Raw genomic sequence first — 22,900 nt, 5'->3', positions numbered from 1 at the left:
TGTTTTGAGACAGGATCTCACTCTGTCGCCCAGGCTGGAGTGCAGCGGTGCGATCATAGCTCACTGCAGCCTCCACCTCCCCAGGCTCAACCCATACTCCTGCTTCAGCCTCCCAAGTAGCTGGGATTACAGGCGTGCGCCACCACGCCCAGATAATTTTTCTAAATGTTTTTGTAGAAACGGGTATTGTCATGTTGCCCAGGCTGGTCGGGAACTCCTGGTTTAAAGTGATCTGCCCACCTCGGCCTCGCAAAGTGCTGGGATTACAGGCGTGAGCCACCGCGCCCGGCAGAATTGCAATTAACTGCTGGCTAGAGGGAGCACCCCGGAAACTCGCGTCTTTCACTGGGGGCCTCCCCACTACCTCGGTTTAACCTCGACCCTTCCACGTCCCGCCGGCTGCCTTCTCTCCACCGCACGGGTCACCGCCTGACCGACTCCCTATGTGCTTATTAGTGTGTGGGGTCTATGAAAGCAGCCAATTTGTTTTTATTTTGTTCGCTGTTTTCCCGGAGCCTGAAACAGTCTCTCACACACAGCTCAATAAATATTACTCAATATTACGTCCCTTACTCAAGGGAAGTAATAGTGCGACTTAAGAAACGGACATACGGAAATGCAGGGAGTCACCTCCCGGCACCACTGACCTTGCCTCCGCAAAGGCCAACATCTGAGAAGATGCCTTCTATTCCTCCCTAATGTCTAACAAGCAGACCTTCTTTGGAGCCAGTTAACAGTTAATTGTTGTGAAAAGTGCTATTTTCTGTTGCACTTCGAAAAAAAATTATGTCAGGAGCAAATCTCCTGATCTCCTGATATTTAAAACACCCAGGCAAATAGCAATTGGCCCGCTTCCCATGCGGTGGCAAAAATCATGCAGGAAAGGTACAGCCAGTAGGTGTGGGTGGTTTTTTTTTTCTTTAATCTTTCGTAATCATAATTTGTTTCTTAGCCTGCTATCGTTCGTGGGTAATAGTCCAAATTCCTCCCTCTTTGGAAGGGAGATGACGCCACGGGGAGGAAGCCACTGTCGGGTGGGACGGTGTCTTGCCAGTTGGCTTGGGACACAGCTGCTGGTGGAGCCTTCAGAACAGACCCTGCTCGTGGGCCTGGCTGTAGATGGAGTCCTGAGCCCTGATTTCAGCTTCTGCGCCACCGCCTTTGGGGGTGTGAGTGTCAGCGAAGCAGGAAGTGGGGGAACAGAAGGGTGCCCCAAATCCAAAGTTAGGTGTAATCGTCAGCTCCCTCTGTCCTTTTCCCTGCCATAATTGCAATGGCAGGTGGACCTGGACTTAGCTCCATGGACGTAACTGCTACAGAAGACAAATTTTATCCAAGGCCAAGGGTTCCAGATAAAGCGTGCATCATCCCGCCTGTATCAGACTCGCCACCGCCGCCGTCATAGTAAGGCCAGAGCACATGCCCTCAGAGGTGGATGGGGCCGTGGCTGCATATTTGGTCTTTGATCCTGTTTTCTGGTCCAGAGCTTCCAAAACCCTTGGGATCTCCAGAGGGATGAGTGTTTTTTGAATGTCAGTGAGAGGACTGGGCAGCTCCAGGATGGGGGCTGGGAGCTGGAATTAGTCAGAACTTTCAGCTCAGACCTCTGACCTTTGGGGAGGGGAGAGGGGCTGGAGATTAAGTTAATCACCAACAGCCAGTGATTAATCAATCATGCCTACATAATGAATCCAAAAAAAAAAAAAAAAAGAGCCCCAAATGACAGAATGTGAGCCAGGCAGGGTGGCTCACACCTGTAATCCCAGCACTGGGAGGCCGAGGTGGGTGGATCACTGGAGGTCAGGAGTTTGAGACCAGCCTGGTCAACATGGTGAAACCCCGTCTCTACTAAAGGTACAAAAATTAGCCAGACATGTGGCAGACACTTGTCATCCCAGCTGCTCGGGAGGCTGAGGCAGGAGAATTGCTTGAACCCAGGAAGCAGAGGTTGCAGTGAGCCGAGACCGTGCCACTGCGCTCCAGCCTGGGTGACAGAGCAAGACGCTGACTCAAAAAAAAAAATGTGGAGAATTTCTGGGTTGGTGAACACATGGAGGTGTGTTGGGAGGGGTGGCAGCCTGGAGAGGATGAGGAAGCCCCTTGGCCTTCCACCCCCCTCACCTCGTCCTAAGCATCTTTTCCATCTGGCTGTTCTGAGTCCAATGCTTTATATTAATAATAAACCAGTACCAGTAAAGTGCCTTCCTGAGTTCTGTGAGCTGTTCTAGCAAATTACTGAATGTGAAACTGGGAGGGAGGGTGGGGGGAATGTAGGAAACCCCCAACTTTGTAGCCAAGTTGGACAGAAGTGTGGGTACCCTGGGCTGGAGTCAGGAGGCTGGCGTCTGAACTCAGGGCAGTCCTGAGGGACTGAGCCTCGGAGCCTGTGGAGTTAGTGTCACGTTTGAACGGAATCGTAGGCCACCCAGTTGGTGTCTGGAGAGTTGGGAGAACTGGTTTTCGGTGTGAAAAAAACCCACGCACTTGGTATCAGAGGTGTTGTGAGTAAAAACAGGTCAGATTCATGTATTCTGATCTCGCTACTCTGAGTTCGTTTGAATCCTGTGTAGAAAAAAAAAAGAACATTGGAACTCGTTACTGTCTTGTTTCTGTTCCATGTTCAGATAACCGCCCTCTCAGATTTTTGTGGTTGTTTAATAGTCCCTGGGAACATTTGTCCTCTCACCACCAACCAGAGTCAGCCAACTAGGATCGATGTCAGTGTCAAATAACTCAGAGTGGTTCTGTGTTGTCCTTCGCGGAAGGCAAATCCACCCGGCAGGAACGGCTGCCTCTGCAGATCCATGCGGCGATAGAACAGGGCGGAGGGGGTTGGATTTGCTGAGCCATCCGGGATTGAACAACGAACTCGCCACAGCCGTGCTGGTCAGGGAAACGGCGGGGATCGTGGGCACGGTCCCTCTGGTTTTCAGACCTGGAGAAAAGATCCGAAGCAATTTTAAATTAAGACTATATTCCCAGACCTGTCAACACTATAGTATGAATCACGGAACTGAGTACTTTCATTATTACTCACCAAACTTGCAAGTGTGTCTGCTGACATCTCCGTGCTCAATCTGCTGGACTATTGATGTGAGCACTGCTGTGCTCCAGAGGAGTTCTTAGCATGTCCCAGTGATGTTCAAAATGTAACCCGATTGCAAGGGTTCATGAGGAAACCAAGGATTGCCCGGCCAGGCTCAAGTCTTCCTCATCCTTCTTCCTTCTGCCATCTTTTGAGAATGGTCACCGTAAGTGGCATGATTTGGTAACCGGAGGTCCTGAGCACAAAGGTTCTCAAACCTGAACAGATATCGGAACCACCCACCTGGAGGGCTGGGCACACTGATTGTTTCCCGAGTTTCTAACTGAGTAAGTCTTGTGGGGATTGGGGGCAAGAATGCGCATTTCTAGCATTCTAGGCGGAGTCCCAGGTGATGCTGACCATTGTGCTGCTTAGTTCAGTCCACTACTTCTGGACCACACCCCAGAGCTGAAGAGGAAAGGAGCGACTTATGCCTGCAGGTGACCAAGGGTAGGGACCCCAGGGCCCCAGGGGCTACAGACCCCTTATGCAGCGACCCCTCCCTGGGCAGACCTACCCGCAGATGAGCTGTCAATCCTGAGGCTCCTGTGGCCAGGGCAGGGGAAAAGGGAGGCGCCGCCTTCCTCCCTTACGTCGGTGCCCAGGCTCCGGGGACAGCAGGTGCCGTGGCCACAGCTTCCGGTTGCCCTCATTGCAGGAAGAAAAGGGCTCCTTCCTGGAGTTCTCTCCAGTTCGTAGGCTGACGGCTCCCATGCTGTCTCAGAAGGGAAAGTGGCACTCAGTAGGAGGGGATCTGACACTCCCTACTCAGAAACTCCTGCCTGCCACAGCCTCTCTCTGGCTGCATGTTTGCATTTTGGGCCTTTCCTCTCTGATGATAGAAAGTATGGCTTTGTCTCCCATTCCCAGCAAAGGAATTCCAGGCTGTGGGAAGCATGCTGGGATCCTTTGATGCGGGCGGGGACAATGGCAATAAAGAACCTGTGTGAAGGAGTGCGGCGGGCAGGGCCAGCCAGGTCCACGGAGTACTTGAGGCCAATGCCTTTCCTGTGCACGCCCACCCGAGGCCTCTGCCACATCTCCGATGTGAGAGTCCAGAGCCCACCCCAAGGCCTCTGCCACATCCCCGACGTGAGTGTCCAGAGCCGTTCCCACTACCGGGCTGTCCCCACGCCACGGCCCGCGTGTGGTGTGGATCCGCCTCCTCAAGCTCCCCATCTCCTTGGAGTTTGCCAGAAGGCTGGGGGATCTGGGATGGGTCTGAGTCCCTGCTGGGTCCCTTCCTATGCTGTGTGAAAAACGGTCTTTGAGCCTGTGTTTTGTCCATGCAGCACAAGGAGAGCTTAATAAATGGGTGCTTCTATTGTTATTATCATCAGTATTACCATTATCATCATCATTATTATATTACCATTATCATCATCATTATGATCATTGCCATTATCATCATCATTATGATCATTGCCATTATCATCATTATTGTTTAGCTGGGAGCAGAGAGGGGCTGCTTTAACCGCCCCAGGGTAGTGAATAGGAAGCTCTGGTCTCCAAGAAGAGTGAGGAGGAGGGGGCGCCTGGGTGGGCACCACAGCTGAGAAGGACAGGACAAGAGAAACCCCACCTGCTGGGGCATGGGCTCTCAGACCATTCGTGTGTGTGTGCACGCACATGCATGTAACTGTGAAAGGATTCATGATTCACAGCATCGGAGAGAACTATGAACACTGCAAGTAAGTAAATGAGGCCGGGCGCGGTGGCTCACGCCTGTAATCCCAGCCTTTTGGGAAGTCGAGGCAGGTGGATCACCTGAGGTCGGGAGTTTGAGACCAGCCTGGCCAACATGGTGAAACCCTGTCTCTTCTAAAAATACAAAAATTAGCTGGGCATGGTGGCACACGTCTGTAATCCCAGCTACTCAGGAGGCTGAGGCATGAGAATCACTTGAACCCAGGAGGCGGAGATTACAGTGAGCCGAGATTGTACCACTGCCCTCCAGCCTGGGTGACAGAGCACGACTCTGTCTCAAAAGAAGCAAAAAAGCAAGCAAGCAAACAAACAAGCAAGCAAGCTAGAAGAAAAAAAGAAAGTAAATGAGTGCATCTACCTCCCAGGTCTTGGTATTCTAAATACCATCCTCCAATTAAAGGAACCAGGAGATCTCAGAGGGTTAGAGGGTTAGGGTGGGAAAGCACAACATGAGCTGGGAGCATCTGTGGTGCCCCAAAACGATGGGGACATGTCCCAAAGACACCAGGGCTGACCTGAAGGGGCTCTTCTGGGACAGTCTGAAGAACAAGATAGTATGGTAGTAGATGGATTGTGACCCATGGAATTAAAGAAGAATCTTGAGCCCATACTGATTTAAATAAATAGATGAATGAATGAGGGAAGAGAGAAAGCTTTTCCTTACAGTAGAATTCCAACCAATACATGTAGAAGGAATCATGGAACTAGAAAAATCACCATTTGGTGAATGCCACAATGTACTTGTTTCAGGGAAGAATCATCAGTGGGTGTTAAAATTAGTGGGCAAAATACCATGAGAAACAGGATATGGACAGATTCAAAGCATCTCCCCACCAGACAATTATCCATTACAAAGGGGAAAATGGTAACTTTATAGGGGAGAAATCTGGCAGACCTCACCAGGAATGGGCGGAATCAACGTCACGTCCTTCCCGACATGGTTCATAGGAAAGGATACCGAGTCACATCTGTGGTATTCCTGCCAAAAATGCATACGCTGAATCTGATCGCAAGGCAACATGAGACACCTAAAATAAGGGATGTGCAACAAAATACCCAGCCAGGACGTCTCAGAAATGTCCAAATCACGAAAGACAAAGCGGGTGGAGGAAGCGTTCCACATTCAAGGAGACTGAAGAGACATGATGACCAACAGCCGCACCCTGGACTGATCCTGAACCCCCAAAAGGCTATTCATAGGACAGTTGATGAAATGCAAGTTAATTATTATTCACTGATTATTAGCCAGTTATTAATTCTCACATTTTGATAATTGTGCTGTGGTTATGTGACGTTTAGGGAAGCTGAGCGAAGGATAAAGTCATAATAAGTCATTTAGCCACGAGGATGCATTCTCAGATTGGCCAGGTACAGTGGCTCATGCCTGTAATTCCAGCACTTTGGGAGGCCAAGGCAGGAGGATCACTTGAGGCCAGGAGTTCAAGACAGCCTGGGCAATATAGCAAGACTCCATCTCTACAAGAAAATTTTAAAAATTAGCTGGGTGTGGTGGCAGTGCACGCCTGGACTCCCAGCCACTGGGAAGGCTGAGGAGGGAGGATGGCTTGAACCTGGGAGGTTGAGGCTGCAGTGAGTCATGGTCACGCCATTGCACTCCAGCCTGGGCAACAGAGAGAGACACGTTTCGAAAAAAAGGAAAAGAAAAATCAGTTTTCTTCCACTAAAACAGTAAGTTTAATTTTCCTAATTTGCTGTTTGTACAGTATGGTCCTCTGCTCCAAGCTTAAAACAAAAATCTATAGGAAACGTCACCTTTCTAGAGGAAGCTGAGATGGAGCAGCTCTCGTTCTACAGGAGGGGCTGCACAAGCTCTCACCACACATCTCTGTCCTCAGGAAAAGCCTGTGCTGAGTGACCAGGAGTTTCTTGTCACTGCTGCATTTTCTTCTTCTTGTTTTTTGTTTGTTTGTTTGTTTGTTTTTGAGACAGGACTGTGGCCCAGGCTGGAATGAATGCAGTGGCGTGATCACCGTTCACTGCGGCCTCAACCTCCCGGGCTCAAGCAGTCCTCCCATCTCAGCTTCCCAGATACCTGGGATCACAGGTATGTGCCATCACACCCAGCTAATTTTTTGTATTTTTGGTAGAGACGGGGTTTCACCATGTTGTCCAAGCTGGTCTTGAACTCCTAGGCTCAAGTGATCTGCCTGCCTTGGCCTCCTGAAGTGCTGGGATTACAGGTGTGAGCCACCACACCTGGCCTCATCCCTGAAGCATTTTCTGCCACGTCTTAGGCTGCATTGGTGACATAATCTGGGGGCTGCCGCCCCTCACAGCTACGTGACTTCATATGCAAGCTCCTTGGCCTCACTGTGCCTCAGTTTCCTCATCTGTAAAATGGAGACAATAATAACACCTGCCCCTAGGGTGGCTGTGAGCATTGCATGAGATAACATGTGTGTCAGTCAGGAGTTTTGGCTGCAAGCTAGGGATCCAACTCTGGGTGATTAAATCAGAGAGGAATTTATTGGAGGGTATCGAGTAGCTCACAGGTTTGGGAGAAAGTCAGGAGAACTAGCCAAAGCTGCCAGAACTCTGGCCAAATTCACATCAGAGGGCGGCTCTGGCAAACTCAGGACGCTAGATCCGCATGGGGGCACCGCCTCTTGAGCCTGCTCCTTTGTCTCTTGAGTTACCTTAAGAGGCTGGGCAGGAGCTTCTGGCTCCCCCCGTGGAGGTCTCAACCTCACCCCCTTAGCTGCAGGGAAGGCTGGGGAAGTATCTGATGGTTTCAGCAGCTACTGCTGCCTCCATGGTAAGACATACCTAGTTATGAATAACTAACTAAAATAAGTCTGTAAGGTGGGGAATTCCCCAACCTAGGAAAGGAGCTCAGATGAGGAGCAAGAGAGAAAGAAGAGGGGATGGGGTGTGGAGAAGAGGAGAGGGTGCCTTTGGAGCAGAAGCCAGCCGTGGCAAGCACACGGGTTGGTCATCGCGGGTGTCCTCCACCACCCCAGGCTCCCTTGCCTCCCCTTGGACTGCTATCGGATCTAAAGAGGCTACTGAAAAAGAGGAGGCGCAAAACAGAGGCATGAGTTGTTCAAAGTCAAAGAACACAATGAGGGAAGAATTAGTCATTTCAGAACTGGAATGAAACTTACAGCTCATCTAAACCAGATGCCCCATTTTACAGAGGAATGAGGCATTCGCAGGCTAAATGACTCGTGCGGGTCCCCCAATAGCTGATGGCGAAGCTGTGAATTCAGACCCCCACTTCGCTTGAGCAGTGACGGGAAGCTGGTGACTTCAGGCTCTGGCAGGTCAGCCCGGGGTGCAGGGGGCGGCTCCTGGGCTCCTGCTCAGCAGGAGGTGGAGGGGGTCTCTCCCTTCCTGAAGCTTTGAGAGCTGGGGTGCTGAGTACATTCTTGGGCTGTTGGGTGACACCATTCCCCTCTCTGAGTCCCCCAAAGGAATAGCTTTGGCTTCCTACAGTTACAGGGCTTCCTATATTAAATCTCAGCTCTTCGAAACACCCAGAGTAGTTTATCTTGTTCCGACTGGACCCCAATTGAAACGGACAGAACACAAGGAAAAGAGCCCAGGATTTCAAGGTGGAACCTGGTTTTGCCACTTACCATTTGTGTGGCTTTGGGTAAGGCATGTAACTTTTCCACCTTAGTTTGTCCGTCTGTAAAGTGGGCATATTCATACTTCACATTAGGTCTATAGAATAGACATTTCATCAGGGTTGAATTTTTTATGTGCTTATATAAATGAATTTCTTTCTTTGTAGGGGTAAATGGGCTCAGATGGCTCAGAAAAAAAATACGCACTCGCACATGATACACACACACAGAATGATTTAGCAAATACATAGACAACTGGTGAGGAACAATTGGTCAGTGTGGGAGAAGAGGATAGAGGTGTTTTTCAGTTTGAAATTGTTTCAAAATAAATGCTTTCAGGGCCGGCATGGTGGCTCATGTCTGTAATCCCAGCACTTTGGGAGGCCAAGGCAGGCAGATCACCAGAGGTCAGGAGATCGAGACCATCCTGGCTAACACGGTGGAACCCCATCTCTACTAAAAATACAAAAATTAGCCGGGCATGGTGGTACACGCCTGTAGTCCCAGCTACTCAGGAGGCTGAGGCAGGAGAATCATTTGAACCAGGGAGGTGGAGGTTGCCGTGAGCTGAGATCGCACCACTGCACTCCAGCCTGCGCAACAGAGTGAGACTGTGTTTCTAAAACAAAACAAAACAAAAAAAATGCTTTCAGGAAAGAAGAGACAGCTGTGCTAATTTACATCTACTGAACTTCAATACATGTGCAATTTAATGCAGGGGATGTTCGTTTACTTTCTATTGCTATGTAGTGTTCTTTTTTTAAAAAAACAAAAAAACACACACACACACACACAGAAATTTTGTGGTTTAAGCCCCACCCCTTCATTAGCTCCCGATTCTGAAGGTTAGAAGTCACACTGCCTGCCTGTGGCTCTGCACAGACCTCGCCCAGCGGAGATCAAGGTGCTGACTAGCTGAGTTCTCATCAGGAACCTCTGGAGAAAACTCCACTTCCCAGCTCCTCCTTGTGGGCACAATTCAGTTCCTGTGGAGTGGGAATAGGGTCCCCATTTCCTCGCTGGCTGTCAGCGGGGTCACTCCTAGAGGCCACCCTCGTTCCATGCCACGTGGCTCCTCCTTCCGCAGGGGCAAGGGCAGGTTGGATCTTTCTCGTGCTTTGAACACTGATGTCTTCTTCTGGGTCCTGCAGGAGAAAGCTCTCTGCCTTAAAGGACTCCGGCCCCCAGCAATCTCCCATCTTACAGTCAACTCATGGGGACCTTAATTCCATCTGCACAGCCCTTCCTGGCAGCTCCTAGGTCAGAGCCGAGCTGAACACCTGGGAGGAGGCGCACACACGGGCCCAGGAACCTGGCAGCAGGCTGCTGGTGGGGGGCATGGGCTCCCCAAGGGCCCACGGTTGGCCTGGCCCAGCCCTAGCACAGCTGGTGTGCTGTGTGCACTCTTTCTGTCATCCTCCCCTCAAAACGCAGCTCCTACGTGCTGCCCTGGCTCTGGGGAAAGGTGATGAATTATCCTTTCTCCTCCATTCAGCTGAAGTTTCAGACATCAGGATTTCTCTCTAGGGAGAGGCTCTTTTCTTCTCTGTGGTGATGTCCCCGACAGAAGAAGAAGAGCGTTGTGTTGATTGTCCCGCCGTCCTGGCAACTCCACAACCAGGGGAGCAGGACAGTGCCCAGGACCCACAGGTCGGGCAGCCATCCCTTCCTTCATAAGGAACGAGGGGCCACAGGGAGGCTGTAGAGTCCGGGAAAGGCTCTTGCCAGCTGTTCACAGCGTCACTTGGGGCCTCCACAGCCCGCTGAGCCCAGGACAGTGTCACAGGGGAGACGGAGGCCCTGAGGACCCCAGAGCCGTCAAGCACGCTCAGCTGTTCCCTGTCCACTCTCAGAAAGCCCAGCCCCTGGCAAATATGCAACAGGTTTATTTTATTTTATTATTTTTTTTAATGTTGCAAAGAACCTTCATATAATTTTTTCCATAGCATCCTGACAAACTCTGGATTCAAGCGGAGGCAGCATTCACCCATTTCTCTGCCGACAAAGCTGGCCTCGGCCAGGGTAGTGACTTGCCCGGATTGCTCAGCCAGACCAGGGGCAGAGCCCCAACACCAGGTCTCCTGGCCGGCGCTGTGTCTCCTCCCGCCTCCATCCTCATCCGAAGGTTGGGACGTCACAGTCCTTGGAGGCTCGCTTAGCTGGGAACTGAGGACCTTCAATTTCAATGTACTGAGTCTTCATGACCTGCATAAGGCCGAGGAGCCTGGCTGCCTCTTTCCCAGAAATTAGTCTCAGTCTCCTGGGCCAAGTGGTTGCTTTCTACTGCATTGCGCTCCTGGAATCCTGGAATACGCTGCTGAATTCTGCAGAGGAAATCAGAGTCATGGTGACTTCAAATTAATCACATAAGCACTCCCAGAGAGAAACGGGATTCTCTGTGGTGGGGCTGCACTTTGCTTGTAATGAGGACGCTTTAGAGGCCAAACTAAACCAGGCGGGAGAGCCAGGCCGTGGGGGCGGGGCGGGGCCTCTGCTCCGGGCACTCCCTTCCTCCACCTGTTTCCTCACCTGTAACATGCAGACAGTGTTCATCAGTGGCCAAATGTGAGGAGCAAATGCCCTTTTTTTTTTTTTTTTGAGACAGTCTCGCTCTGTCACCCAGGCTGGAGAGCAGTGGCACAATCTCAGCTCACTGCAACCTCCGCCTCCCAGGTTTAAGCGATTCTCCTGCTTAACAAAATAGGATTCTCCTGCTTAACAAAATAGATTTTTCTCCAGCTCAGGCTGGAGTGAATTGGCGCAATCTTGGCTCACTGCAACCTCCACCAGGTTCAAGCGATTCTCCTGCCTCTGCCTCCCGAGTAGCTGGGATTACAGGCATGTGCCACCACACCCGGCTAATGTTTGTATTTTTAGTAGAGACGGGGTTTCACCATGTTGGCTAGGCTGGTCTCAAACTCCTGACCTCAGGTGATCTGCCTGCCTCAGCCTCCCAAAGTGCTGGGATTATAGGCGTGAACCACCACGCCCGGCCTGCACCCAGCCTATTTATTTATTCTTAACTTTAACTTTTTTTGCAATAAGCCTTTTGCAGTCCTACATTTATTTATTTTTAACTTTTATTTTAGGTTCAGGGATACATGTACAGATCTGTTATATGGGTAAATTGTATGTCACAGGGGTTTGGCGTACAGATTATTTTGTTACCTAAATTATAAGCATAGTACCCAACAGGTAGCCTTCTTTTTTATTATTTTTTTTAAATTTGAGGCAGGGTCTTGCTCGGTCACCCAGGCTGGAGTGCAGTGGCATGATCATGGCTCACTGCAGCCTCTACCTCAGGCAATCCTCCCACCTCAGCCTCCCTAATAGCTGGGACCAAGGGCATGCAGCATCACATCTGGCTAATGTTAAGTTTTTGTAGAGATGGGGTTTCGCCATGTTGCCCAGGCTGGTCTCAAACTCCTGAACTCAAGCGGTCTGCCCTCCTTAGCCTCCCAAAGTGCTGGGATTGCAGGTGTGAGCCGCCGCGCCCGGCTGACAGATAGCTTTTTGGTCCTCACCCTCCTCCCACCCTCCACCCTCAAGGAGGCCCCGGTATCTGTTGTTCCCTCCTTTGTGTCCTTGTGTCCTCAGTGTTTAGCTCCCACTGATAAGCAAGAACATGCGGTATCTGGTTTTCTGTTCCTGTGTTGGTTCGCTTAGGATAATGGCCTCCAGCTCCATCCATGTATAACTTTATTTTATAATACAGAAAACATCGAACAGTCATTGTTAAGGAAAACTTTGATGACTGTTCCCATTCAGAAATTTATTTATTTAAATGTCCTTGAAATTTTTTCTTTTGGAGACAGAGTCTTGCTCTGTCACCCAGGCTGGAATGCAGTGGCGTGATCTCTGCTCACTGCAACCTCCACTCCTGGGTCCAAGCGATTTTCCTGTCTCAGCCTTCTGAGTAGCTGAGACTATGGGCAGGCGCACACCGCCATGCCTGGCTAATTTTTTTATTTTAGTGAAGACAGGGGTTCACCAGGTTGCCCGGGCTGGTCTCAAACTCCTGAGCTCAGGCAATCCGCCCGCCTCAGCCTCCCAAAGTGCTAGGATTAGAGGCATGAGCCAACGCACTTGCTGCCTTAAAATTTTTAAACTGCATTTATAATATTAATACTTTATACTTTTAAATACTTTAATTTATTCACAAGCATTCTCAAGTGCTTAACAACTAACTCTGGCGAATCTCTGGTTTTTTTAAATGTTCCCATACTGCCTACAATCTTAATAAATTGGCGTTGAATATCTGAGTTTAAATCACAAATCTATATCAATTACCCAATCACATATTTTGAATTGGAATCAAGAGGCCAGTCCATTCATTGCATTTAAAATTACAAGTTAAAATATGCCACATCCTCTTAAAACAGCAACTTCTTAAAATATCAAATATGTAAAGATTGCCTAAACGTAACCCCAAAATATCAAAAGTATGAGTTGGTTTCACACTCCTCTGTGTAAACAGACTTTTCCAGGGTTAAGAGAGACTTATCCGGTAAAGAAACAACGATGTCATTACCAGCAAGTCTGGGGTCCTGTCCCAAGGAACTGAAGTTGCTTATTGACCGGGACAACCCCTGCTCAGGACCCAGAATTGAATTCTTGCCTGTAAAAGGGACAGAAAATACGGAGGCCTGTTGGAGCTCTTATAACAGGAGCTCCTGGCCCCCCACGGGGAAGGGGTCCCCAGCACGCTTGCTTCCAGACCTGCTGACTCTCCTTCGAAGACCATGGTGGTCTCAGGGGGTCAAGAGCCCACCCGTCCAGGTGCCTGGCTGGTTGGCTTGGGACACCCCTGGCCCAGTCACACCTCAATTCAGGTGACAGTCCAGGAGCTGTCAGCAGACCCCCTCCTGGGAGTGTGGAGAATGAGCATTTCTCTATCCTTGCCAAAAAGCAATCTCAGTTAGGGCAGATGCAAGAAAACCACATCATCTTTCTCTCCCTGTGGGGCAAGAGCTAGCTTTATTAATTCTGGTGTACAAATTAGTCATTGCTGTCATTCCAGCTAAATCGAGGTCAGCTTTCTCCCAATTTATGCTGAAATTAGCAAAGACCCTTCTGATTTGACAGTCAAATGGGAAGGGAATTGATGGATCCCAGCACAGAGGTTGAAGGTGAGAGGCTGCAGGCATCCCAGGGTGCCCTGCGCTTCTGTTGCAGTCTTTTTTTTTTTCTTTTTCTTTCTTTCTTTCTTTTTTTTTTTTTTTTTGAGATGGAGTTTCACTCGTTGCTCAGGCCGGAGTGCAGTGGCATGATCTCGGCTCACTGCAACCTCCGCCTCCCAGGTTCAAGTGATTCTTCTGCCTCAGCCTCCCGAGTAGCTGGGATTACAGGCACGTGCCACCACACCTGGCTAATTTGGTATTTTTAGTAGAGATGAGGTTTCCCCATGTTGGCCAGGCTGGTCTCGAACTCCTGACCTCAGGTGATCCACCCCCACCCTCAGCCTCCCAAAGTGCTGGGTTTACAGGTGTGAGCCACTGCGCCTGGCCTTCTGCTGCAGTCTTGATGCCACGTGCTTTACTCCCTGTCTCAGAGAAAGAAAAAATTTTTTTGCTCTTTCCCTAGAAACCAAGAAAAGTAGGTTAATCAGACAAACAAGTGGTAAAGATAAAAGACTCCCCCGCTCCCCACTGACCGCACCACACACACACACTCACAATCACACAGACACACACACACACACACACACACACACACACACACACTCCTCCAGGTCCTGGCTCTCCTCCTACTGCCCCAGCAGCTGAGCCTGCAGCTCTCCCTGCTCCCACCTCCACCTCAGGGGCTTGGACTCCTCTGCCCTCTGCTCACCTTCCCCATGGCTGCCCAGTCATCCCCAACTGGCAACATTCACTGTGATGGGAAGGGCACAGGCAGCTCAAGACTAAGTCGCTTCAGGAAGACGGGAATCCCCCTGTTCACACCACAGAATGAGGTTTCCTGTGTGCAGAGGAGGAGGAGGGCTGGGAAGAAGAAGCTGGAGACAGGAAGGAATGACGTGCAAATGATGTGAAGAGAAACGACACTTCTAAGTCATCAAGAACAGAGTGCTAAGGGGAAAGAGGTCTGTACTAGAAAATGAAAGATTTGGATTACATGGAGAAATTTTCTGAAAGTGAAATCTGTTACAAATAGATTTGGCTGGCCAGGCGTGGTGGCGCACGCCTATAGTTCCAGCACTTTGGGGGGCCGAGGCGGGCAGATCGTCTGAGGTCAGGAGTTCGAGACCAGCCTGGCCAACATGGCGAAATACTGTCTCTCCTAAAAATACAAAAATTAGCCAGGTATGGTGGCACACACCTGTAATCCCAGCTACTCGGGAGGCTGAGGCTGGAGAGTCACTTGAACCAGGGAGGTGAAGGTTGCAGTGAGCCGAGATCGCGCCATTACACTCCAGCCTGGGTGACAGAACAAGACTCTGTCTCAAAAAACAAAACAAAACAAGAAAGAGAAAAAGAAAAAGAAAAAGAAATGGCTTCTGGGATATAGGATCTGCAATGCATGAAACCACAGCCTGGCTTTCTGTCCCAAGCTCCTGCGCTGCCGTCTACACTCCTGGTTGTTCAGGCCCCTCCTAACAGCTGTGTGTGCATGTGTGTGCATACCACGCAGATTGCGTGTGGCTCTGCATGTAGAAGTTCAGGCATCAATAACAGGACTGCTGGAATTATTTTAGGTAGGGAGGCCTCCTCAGTGCACCCCAAATCTCACCCCCTGGGAAGATCACTAAGCTGTTAACATGAAACCAGTGTTGACTGAAAAATGTTCATCAACTTCACCTAATGGTTTTTGCTGATGGGGTAGAATCTTATCTTTCGAGTGTGTTTGCACCCTTCAGAAATGCTTTCGGCTACATGTAAATGAGAACCTGACTCATGGAGGCTTAAACACATTGGGATTTGTTTTTCTCACAAAACAGGAAGGTCTGGAGGCAGCAGCAGTTAATCCTGCTTTGAAGGCTGAATCATGTCAAGGACAGCCTCTGTAGCTCCTGCACCCTCTTCCTCAAGGCTGCAGCTGGGCTGCGGTAGTGGCATCACGCTGCATTTGGGATTCGGGCAGCAGCGTATGTCCCTTTAATCCGGAAGGCTCAGCACTCTCGGAACTCCTCCCCACCCCCAGTGGATGTCTGCTTGCGTCTTCTTGATTAGCTGCAAAGTGGTGCTGAGAGAGAGCAGATGGAACGTTTCTGAAAAGTTAAATACAAGAAAGGGTTTGGGAATGTGAATCGGGTTGGTCTTTTCCCAGGTCAGCCCCAGTGCACCTCTTTCTAGAGAACACACTGCCCCCGCCAAAGGCTTGGAGGGCCACCCTCAAGACCACCTGAGCCATGGCATCCACCTTCCCGAGTCCTGCATATCCAGATGAGGTGCAGGCGTCCGCCTGGGGTCCAGAGGGAGCTCCTCATGATCCCACCAGCTATAGCCCAAAGACTTGTAGTCCATCATCAACACATGCAGTAAGGAATGGTGGAAGAGGAAACAGACCATTGCAATACAATCCCCCTTCAGAAACTCAGAGGATGGGAAGACAAAACGAGTCACACGCAAGATCCCGCTGGAAGGAGCAGTGAGGTCTCCCTGCCCTGGCGATACAGCAAGCTCCCCAGTGAGCCAGCCTGGCACCTCGTATCAGACCTTCCCACTGACTTCTCTGGTCTCTGGGAGGGTCCTCCAAGACCTCATCCAAGCAGGGCCCTGGGCGGGACACCCCTGATGGAGAACATAGGGTTTTGCAGTTCAGTTCTTGAGTATGGGTTCAGGGGCTGCAGATGGCTTCACGGCCTGAACAGACAGGGGCTACTGCTAGCCAGCCTGAGGGCTGCTTTGTTCTTTGTTGCTGTTTTTGAGATAGGGTTTCACTCTGTTGGCCAGGCTGGCGTGCAGCAGTGCAATCATAGCTCACTACAGCCTCGACCTCTGGGGCTCAGGTGATCCTCCCACCTCAGCCTCCTGCATAGCCGGGACCACAGCAGGCATGTGCCACTGCACCCAGTTAATTTTATTTTTTTTAGAGATGGGCTCTCACCGTGTTGCCCAGGCTGGTTTCAAACTCCTGGGCTCAAGTGATTCTCCCACCTTGGTCTCCCAAGGTGCTGGGATTACAGGAGTGAACCACTGCACCCTTTGGTTTCTTGGACAATGTAATTACCTTACACATCTAGCTGTAAATTCCTGGTCTATTCTGTTTGGTCCCATGCTCAAGCAGCCATAGCAAAGGCCTTCTCTCCACACATCATCCAACCTAACACCTTCCCTCTCCCAGAGACTGGCCCTGGTGACCTGCCCACCTCCTCTTCTGTCTCCTGGAGGCTGGCCCTGGTGACCTGCCCACCTCCTCTTCTGTTTCCCAGAGGCTGGCCCTTGTGACCTGCCCACCTCCTCTTCTGTCTCCTGGAGGCTGGCCCTGGTGACCTGCCCACCTCCTCTTCTGTCTCCTGGAGGCTGGCCCTTGTGACCTGCCCACCTCCTCTTCTGTCTCCTGGAGGCTGGCCCTGGTGACCTGCCCACCTCCTCTTCTGTCTCCTGGAGGCTGGCCCTAGTTGCAGGAAAACAGGCTTAGGGCTGCCACTGATTCTACATTATGGTGAGTTGTTTAATTATGTCATTGCATATTACAATGTATCAATAATAGAAATAAAGTGCACAATAAATGTAATGCTCCTGAATCATCCCCAGACCGTCCCTCAACCCTGGTACGTGGAAAACTGTCTTCTACAAAATTGGTCCCTGGTGCCAGAAAGGTTTGGGAACCACTGTTTTACGCTACAGCTTTAGTCTCTAGGTCTCACAACAGGTGAGCATGCAACTGATCATTCACCATCAAGCAGGACCCTGATTTTCCAGGCTGAAGGAGTTGGGTCCCCGCCCCACCACTGGACCTCCTCTTAGCCAACGCCGTACATTAGTGTCTGTCCCCTGGAGCCACTGGCTCTCAGATACCAAATTCCCTATCCGTTAGGTATAGGTCTGTTTTTTGTTTGTTTTTGAGATGGAGTTTCGCTCCTATTGCCCAGGCTAGAGTGCAATGGTGCGATCTTGGATCACCGCAACCTCTGCCTCCTGGGTTCAAGCGATTCTCCTGCCTCAGCCTCCCGAGTAGCTGGGATTACAGGCATGCACCACCATACCTGGCTAATTTTATATTTTTAGTAGAGACGGGGTTTCTCCGTATTGGCCAGGCTGGTCTCGAACTCCTGACCTCAAGTGATTTGCCTGCCTCGGCCTTCCAAAGTGCTGGGATTACAGGCGTGAGCCACTGTACCCTGCAAGTGTACATCTGTTAAGTAACAGAAACCCCAACTTACTGTGACTTAACAAAAAGGGATTTCTTTTTCTTGTAGAAGTCAGGGTGAGCAGTCCAGGACTGGTGCAGAGGCTGGATAATGTTCTAGTCCACCCACTGCAGTGGGCTGGAGTTGCTCACGGTCTGAGCCCTCCCCTGCATCTCCAGGCACCGGGCCCCAGTTCAAGGTTGAAACCAGGGACACAGGAGTCGCAGCAGCTGTGTTTTTCCTTTCACCAAGAAAATGAAAGCTTTCCCCAGAAGATGGAGATATTTCCACTTTCATCTCACCGGACAGAATGATGGCACTTAGGTGCTGGGGAAGTGAGAAATTTGTTTCCTATAGAAGGGGTTTCCCGGAGAAGGGCTGGAGATGACAGGTCACCAGCTCAGCAAGGTCCACAGCGCTGCTCTCTGGGTAGGAGGAGACGGCCTCTGCCGGCCTGCAAGGCCTGTTCAAAACACCCTGAGCCTGGGGTATTTAAGGTGCTTCGTGCCTGATTCCTTACAACTCACTCAGAGCAAATGGTTTAGACAAGCACCAATCTTGAAGGAATTGAAAACACTTTGCTAAATAAAATGAATCATTTCAGATTCCCAAGATTAACTGGCGTTCTGTAGGTCGGCACAAAGTCGTGGCTTTGCCATCTGACGGAGGACGCGCAGCGGTCGTCTCTGGCTGGGTAGACTGAGACCTGAACGCTGAGGGACTTAGGACCAGCAGTGCCGTCCAGGCCTGGCTGCAGACGGTGAGTCACTCTGCCGCTCCAGGATCAGTCAAACTGTGCAAGCCAGTGTTAACTTTTGAAGTTTTGGCGTGGATGAGAGTGTTCAGTGGCTTCAGTGAAGGGTTCACGCTTTGGAATTACAATTTTTTTCTTTTTTTTCTTTTTTTTTTGAGACCGAGTCTCGCTCTGTCGCCCAAGCTGGAGTGCAGCCGCGCGATCTTGGCTCACTGCAACCTCCGCCTCCTGGGTTCAAGCGATTCTCCTGTCTCGCCCTCCCGAGTAGCTGGGACTACAGGCGCGTGCCGCCACACCCAGCTGATTTTTTTTAATTTTTAGTAGAGACAGGGTTTCACCATGTTAGCCAGGATGGTCTCGATCTCCTGACCTTGTGATCTGCCCGCCTCGGCCTCCCAAAGTGCTGGGATTACAGGCGTGAGCCACCGCACCCGGCTGGTTTTTTGTTTTGTTTTGTTTTGTTTTTTGAATCTTCAGTCACCAGAATTGTTTTTGTTTTAGTAAGGCTGTAAAAGCCAGAAAGGGGGAAAAAAGTAATATATTTTCTCTAAGCTCTGAACGTGGGGGTTTCTTGGGCCAAATTATATTATACCTTCATTTGTTTACTAGCATTGTTGTTTACATATTTTAGAATCATATTTGTGTCTTTTTGAATAGGATTTTGGGGTATCTAATACTTTAAACAAATTCTCATACTGCCTAATAGTAAGCTCTTAATAAATCCCTCTTCAATGGTTAACTTCAATGCTATAAAAATATATACTTTCCTGAATATTTCTTACTCTGTGGTTAAGTACAGAGGTGGCATCTTTCAATACTGGAAAAAACAAGTTATATCACTATTTCCTCCTTGCCTAATATTTCCAAATTCATTTGTTTCAAAAAGAAGTTCTGCCTTGAGTCTCTCCTTCCCGTCACGCCCAGGGAAGATAATCTACCCAACACAAATCAGCTCACTATGGGCCACTAAACAGCTCAGCAAATCCGGTGGCACCACCCCGTTGGAAATGTTATTTCAGTCTCTGGAAACAAGTTCTGGGTGTGCCCGAAGGATTGGCATTAGCGGGAGGGGACTCACTTCTCGGAGCGAGAGGCTGTGTGGGAGAGCAGTGGGAAGCCTGAGAGGACATGTGAGCCGGAGGGATTATTTTTGTCATAAAACATGCTTTGTCCAAAGGCTTGGAGGAAAAAAGCACTGGCTTCATTTCTGCACAGTCATTGTTGTTAAAATAGCACAATTGGTGCCATGCAGAAGAATGTGAAGATTCTGTATCATCCTCCTTGCAAGGGAGAAGGTGTTTGTGAGCTTTACATGCCAATGTCCACCATGAAGGCCAGAGGGCATCGGAGACTTTTTTTTTTTTTTTTGAGACAGAGTTTGACTCTGTCACCCAGGCTAGAGTGCAGCGGCACAATCTCGGCTCACTGCAGCCTCTGCCTCCTGGGTTCAAGTGATTCTCCTGTCTCAGCCTCCCAAATAGCTGGGCTTACAGGCACACGCCACCATGCCAGGATAATTTTTGTGTTTTTAGTAGAGAGAGTGTTTCACCCTGTTGGCCAGGCTGGTCTCGAACTCCTGACCTCAAGTGATCCAATATTGTTGAGCTGGATCAGCAGGTGTTAGGCATCAGAACTGCCCTTGAAGGCTGGTATGGTGGCTCACACCTGTAATCCCTTGCACTTTGGGAGGCCAAGGGTGGAGGGTCGCTTGAGCCCAGGAATTCAAGCCTGCGCGACAAGAGCAAAACTCTGTCTCAAAAAAAAAAAAGAAAAAAGAAAAATGCAAAAACCAAAACAACAACAAGAAAAAAAAACAAGAACTGAATGTGTTTTCCTTTGGAGAATGGGACTGGTGGAGGCAGAGTGCTGTTCTGATTTATGAGTATTTGAAGACTTAGTTGATTTTATAATTATGTACAGATATTATTTTGACAAAAACTAAAATTAAATAGGAATGCCAACTGTAAACTTACTTTTCAATCCAAATTTTGGTAATAATTATGCAAAATTCAGTTCAGAATGACTTAATCCAGTTGCACCCTCATAAAATACCTGTGTATACAGCGGTCATCTGGGAGAGTTTATTGAGTCACCATCAGCTTACTTCTGAAGAGATTCAGCGTCAATTATTGTTACTTAGTTCCTTATTCTGAACCTAAGCACAGTACTGCAAGTAACTGCAAAGCATGTCTGCCAAATTATCAGACTTTTATTCCATTTATTCCTTCTGCTTTTTTCCAAGAGAAATGAGTAATAAAGTTCCCTTAGCAACCCCCTTCTTGTCAAGCCACTTCCTCCCCTCATGTGAAACCTGGTTTCAGCAAGCCAGGGACCCACAGGGGTTTGTCACGAACCCGTCCATGGATAGACACTGTCTTAGCTTATCGGAAACCTTATGTTTTCACTGCTTAGACTTGAGCCTTAAGTTGTGGGAGAAAAATGCAACAGGAAGAGAAGAGGATAATAGAGATTTAATAGGAGGTATTTTAATATTGTGTGAGAGTACAGAGGAGGAAAAAAGGGTGGTTACTAAATGAAAAGACCCAGCTGTTATCAAATCTGCAACTTGCTGATACCCTTAGACCATATTTAAAAATGCATTGACCAGGTGCAGTGGCTCAGTGCCTGTAATCCCCACACTTTGGGAGGTCAAGGCAGGAGGATTGCTTGAGTCCAGGAGTTCGAGACAAGGCTAGGCAACATGGTGAAACCCCGTCTCTACAAAAAATACAAAAATTAGCTGGGCATGGTGGGATGTGCCTGTAGTCCCAGCTACTTTGGAGGCTGAGGTGGGAGGATTGCTTGAGCCCAGGAGTTTGAGGTTACAGTGAACTACGAATTTAATAATCTTGACATTTCATATAAATGACATTTCAAAATCTTTACAATATCTTGCTATAAATAAAGTAACGTGTATGGCTCCATCATTTACATAAATCTAGACCCTCACGGCTCTGGTCAGGACTCAACCACCTCTATACCTTAGTTCCTTAGATCAGGGTTGCCAATAAAAGAGAAAAGAGAGAGACCAACCCAGAAATACACTGACTAGTAAAAGTCCCAGAAAGAGAAATACAGTGAAGGAAGGAGGGTCAGTTATCAAAGAACTATCATGAGAAACATTTCCAGAATTGAAGGATATGAATTTCTAGAAAGAGATCATCCCCTGGCCAGGCACGGTGGCTCATGCCTGTAATCCCAGCACTTTGGGAGGCCGAGGTGGGCGGTTCACTTGAGGTCAGAAGTTCAAGACCAGCCTAGCTAACATAGTGAAACCCTGTCTTTACTAAAAATACAAAAATTTGCCAGGCATGATGTGCATGCCAGTAATCCCAGCTACTCGGGAGGCCGAGGCAGGAGAATCGCTTGAACCTGGGAGGTGGAGGTTGCAGTGAGCCGAGATCACACCACTGCACTCCAGCCTGAGCAACAGAGCGAGGTTCTGTCTCCAAAAAAAAAAAAGAGGGTTCATCCCCAATGCCCACCATGCTGAACGAGAAGAGGTCCACGGCATAGTCGTGAAACTTCCAGACAGTGGTTCCAGAACCTTCCAGAGAGAAGAAAAACAGGTCAGCAAGGAGGACACTGACTTTACCAACCGCAAAACAAGAAAATGAGAATGTAGCAATGCCCTCAAAATTCTGAGGGAAAATGGGTTTTAATCAAGAAGTCCACGTTTAGTCAAACTAGCAATTCAGCATGACAGAATTATGATTTTTGTGGGTGGTGGTGAGTGCCTGTGGTCCCAGCTACTCTAGAGGCTGAGGTGGGAGGATCGCTTCAGCTCCTGAGTTCAAGGTTGCAGTGAACTATGACCGCGCCACTGCACTCCAGCCTGGGCAACGGAGACCCTGTCTCAAAAGAAAAATAGAAAAAGAAAAATGCAGAATTAAGATTTTTCAGACATGCATGGCCTAACAAACTGTATCTCTCCTGTATCTTTTCTTAGGAAACTACTTCAAGATAAGCTCCACCAAAAATAGAGAGGAAATCAAGAAGATTAAGACGCAGGATCCAGCGCAACGCTCCAGCACAGGAGAGACCAAAAGAACGTTTGACAATCCACTGACTTCCTAGAAAACAGAAGAGTGGGCTGGGCATGGTGGCTCACGCCTGTAATCCCAGCACTCTGGGAGGCTGAGGTGGGTGGATTACCTGAGATCAGGAATTCGGGACCAGCCTGGAGAAACCCCGTCTCTAAAAATACAAAAATTAGCCGAACGTGATGGCGCACGCCTTGTAGTCCCAGCTACTCAAGAGACTGAGGCAGGAGAATGGCGTGAACCCGGGAAGCAGAGGTTGTAGTCAGCCAAGATCGCGCCACTGCACTCCAGCGTGGGAGACAGAGCGAGAGTCCGTCTCAAAAAAAAGAAAAAAAAAAAAAAAGAAACAAAGTTTAGCTTTCCCATGCCCCCACCCCCCGCACCGTTGCCCGCCGCCCCCCCCCCCCCCCCCCGCCCCATTCATTCTTT

The 22,900-nt window shown here is 49.4% G+C and overlaps 2 long non-coding RNA genes across 3 annotated transcripts, besides 7 other annotated features; one reads left to right on the top strand and one right to left on the bottom strand.

The window, feature by feature from the left end:
• On the bottom strand, positions 909-3,722 carry LOC124902369 (uncharacterized). Its single transcript, XR_007062043.1, has 3 exons — positions 3,603-3,722; positions 3,038-3,233; positions 909-2,935 (listed from the first exon to the last, which is right to left on the bottom strand). It is a non-coding gene; the product is annotated as an uncharacterized LOC124902369 (long non-coding RNA).
• LOC101928080 (uncharacterized) lies at positions 2,759-22,806 on the top strand. Of its 2 annotated transcripts, none has more exons than XR_930619.3 (3): positions 2,759-3,372; positions 18,279-18,434; positions 22,378-22,806. It is a non-coding gene; the product is annotated as an uncharacterized LOC101928080 (long non-coding RNA). The 2 variants fall into 2 exon arrangements; XR_930620.3 differs by having other exon boundaries at positions 18,307-18,434; positions 22,378-22,592.
• Positions 7,518-7,817: an enhancer, noted in NCBI's record as "active region_2957". NCBI's record gives its function as "activates an Ori minimal core promoter by ATAC-STARR-seq in GM12878 lymphoblastoid cells {active_cell/tissue: GM12878}" and the evidence as "EXISTENCE:reporter gene assay evidence [ECO:0000049][PMID:35858748]".
• Positions 9,160-9,707: an enhancer, noted in NCBI's record as "H3K4me1 hESC enhancer chr10:6176646-6177193 (GRCh37/hg19 assembly coordinates)". NCBI's record gives its function as "activates a minimal SCP1, AML or CMV promoter by ChIP-STARR-seq in primed H9 embryonic stem cells {active_cell/tissue: H9 hESC(primed)}" and the evidence as "EXISTENCE:reporter gene assay evidence [ECO:0000049][PMID:30033119]".
• Positions 9,708-10,256: an enhancer, noted in NCBI's record as "H3K4me1 hESC enhancer chr10:6176097-6176645 (GRCh37/hg19 assembly coordinates)". NCBI's record gives its function as "activates a minimal SCP1, AML or CMV promoter by ChIP-STARR-seq in primed H9 embryonic stem cells {active_cell/tissue: H9 hESC(primed)}" and the evidence as "EXISTENCE:reporter gene assay evidence [ECO:0000049][PMID:30033119]".
• Positions 14,193-14,272: an enhancer, noted in NCBI's record as "active region_2956". NCBI's record gives its function as "activates an Ori minimal core promoter by ATAC-STARR-seq in GM12878 lymphoblastoid cells {active_cell/tissue: GM12878}" and the evidence as "EXISTENCE:reporter gene assay evidence [ECO:0000049][PMID:35858748]".
• Positions 14,283-14,362: an enhancer, noted in NCBI's record as "active region_2955". NCBI's record gives its function as "activates an Ori minimal core promoter by ATAC-STARR-seq in GM12878 lymphoblastoid cells {active_cell/tissue: GM12878}" and the evidence as "EXISTENCE:reporter gene assay evidence [ECO:0000049][PMID:35858748]".
• Positions 14,413-14,462: an enhancer, noted in NCBI's record as "active region_2954". NCBI's record gives its function as "activates an Ori minimal core promoter by ATAC-STARR-seq in GM12878 lymphoblastoid cells {active_cell/tissue: GM12878}" and the evidence as "EXISTENCE:reporter gene assay evidence [ECO:0000049][PMID:35858748]".
• Positions 17,749-17,868: an enhancer, noted in NCBI's record as "active region_2953". NCBI's record gives its function as "activates an Ori minimal core promoter by ATAC-STARR-seq in GM12878 lymphoblastoid cells {active_cell/tissue: GM12878}" and the evidence as "EXISTENCE:reporter gene assay evidence [ECO:0000049][PMID:35858748]".
• Positions 22,807-22,900: the final 94 nt, after the last annotated feature.

This window comes from Homo sapiens, chromosome 10, assembly GCF_000001405.40.
Source record: "Homo sapiens chromosome 10, GRCh38.p14 Primary Assembly".
Lineage (NCBI taxonomy): Eukaryota > Metazoa > Chordata > Mammalia > Primates > Hominidae > Homo > Homo sapiens.
The sequence above is the reverse complement of the archived record's forward strand: the minus strand, read 5'-3'. Positions and strand labels throughout refer to the sequence as shown.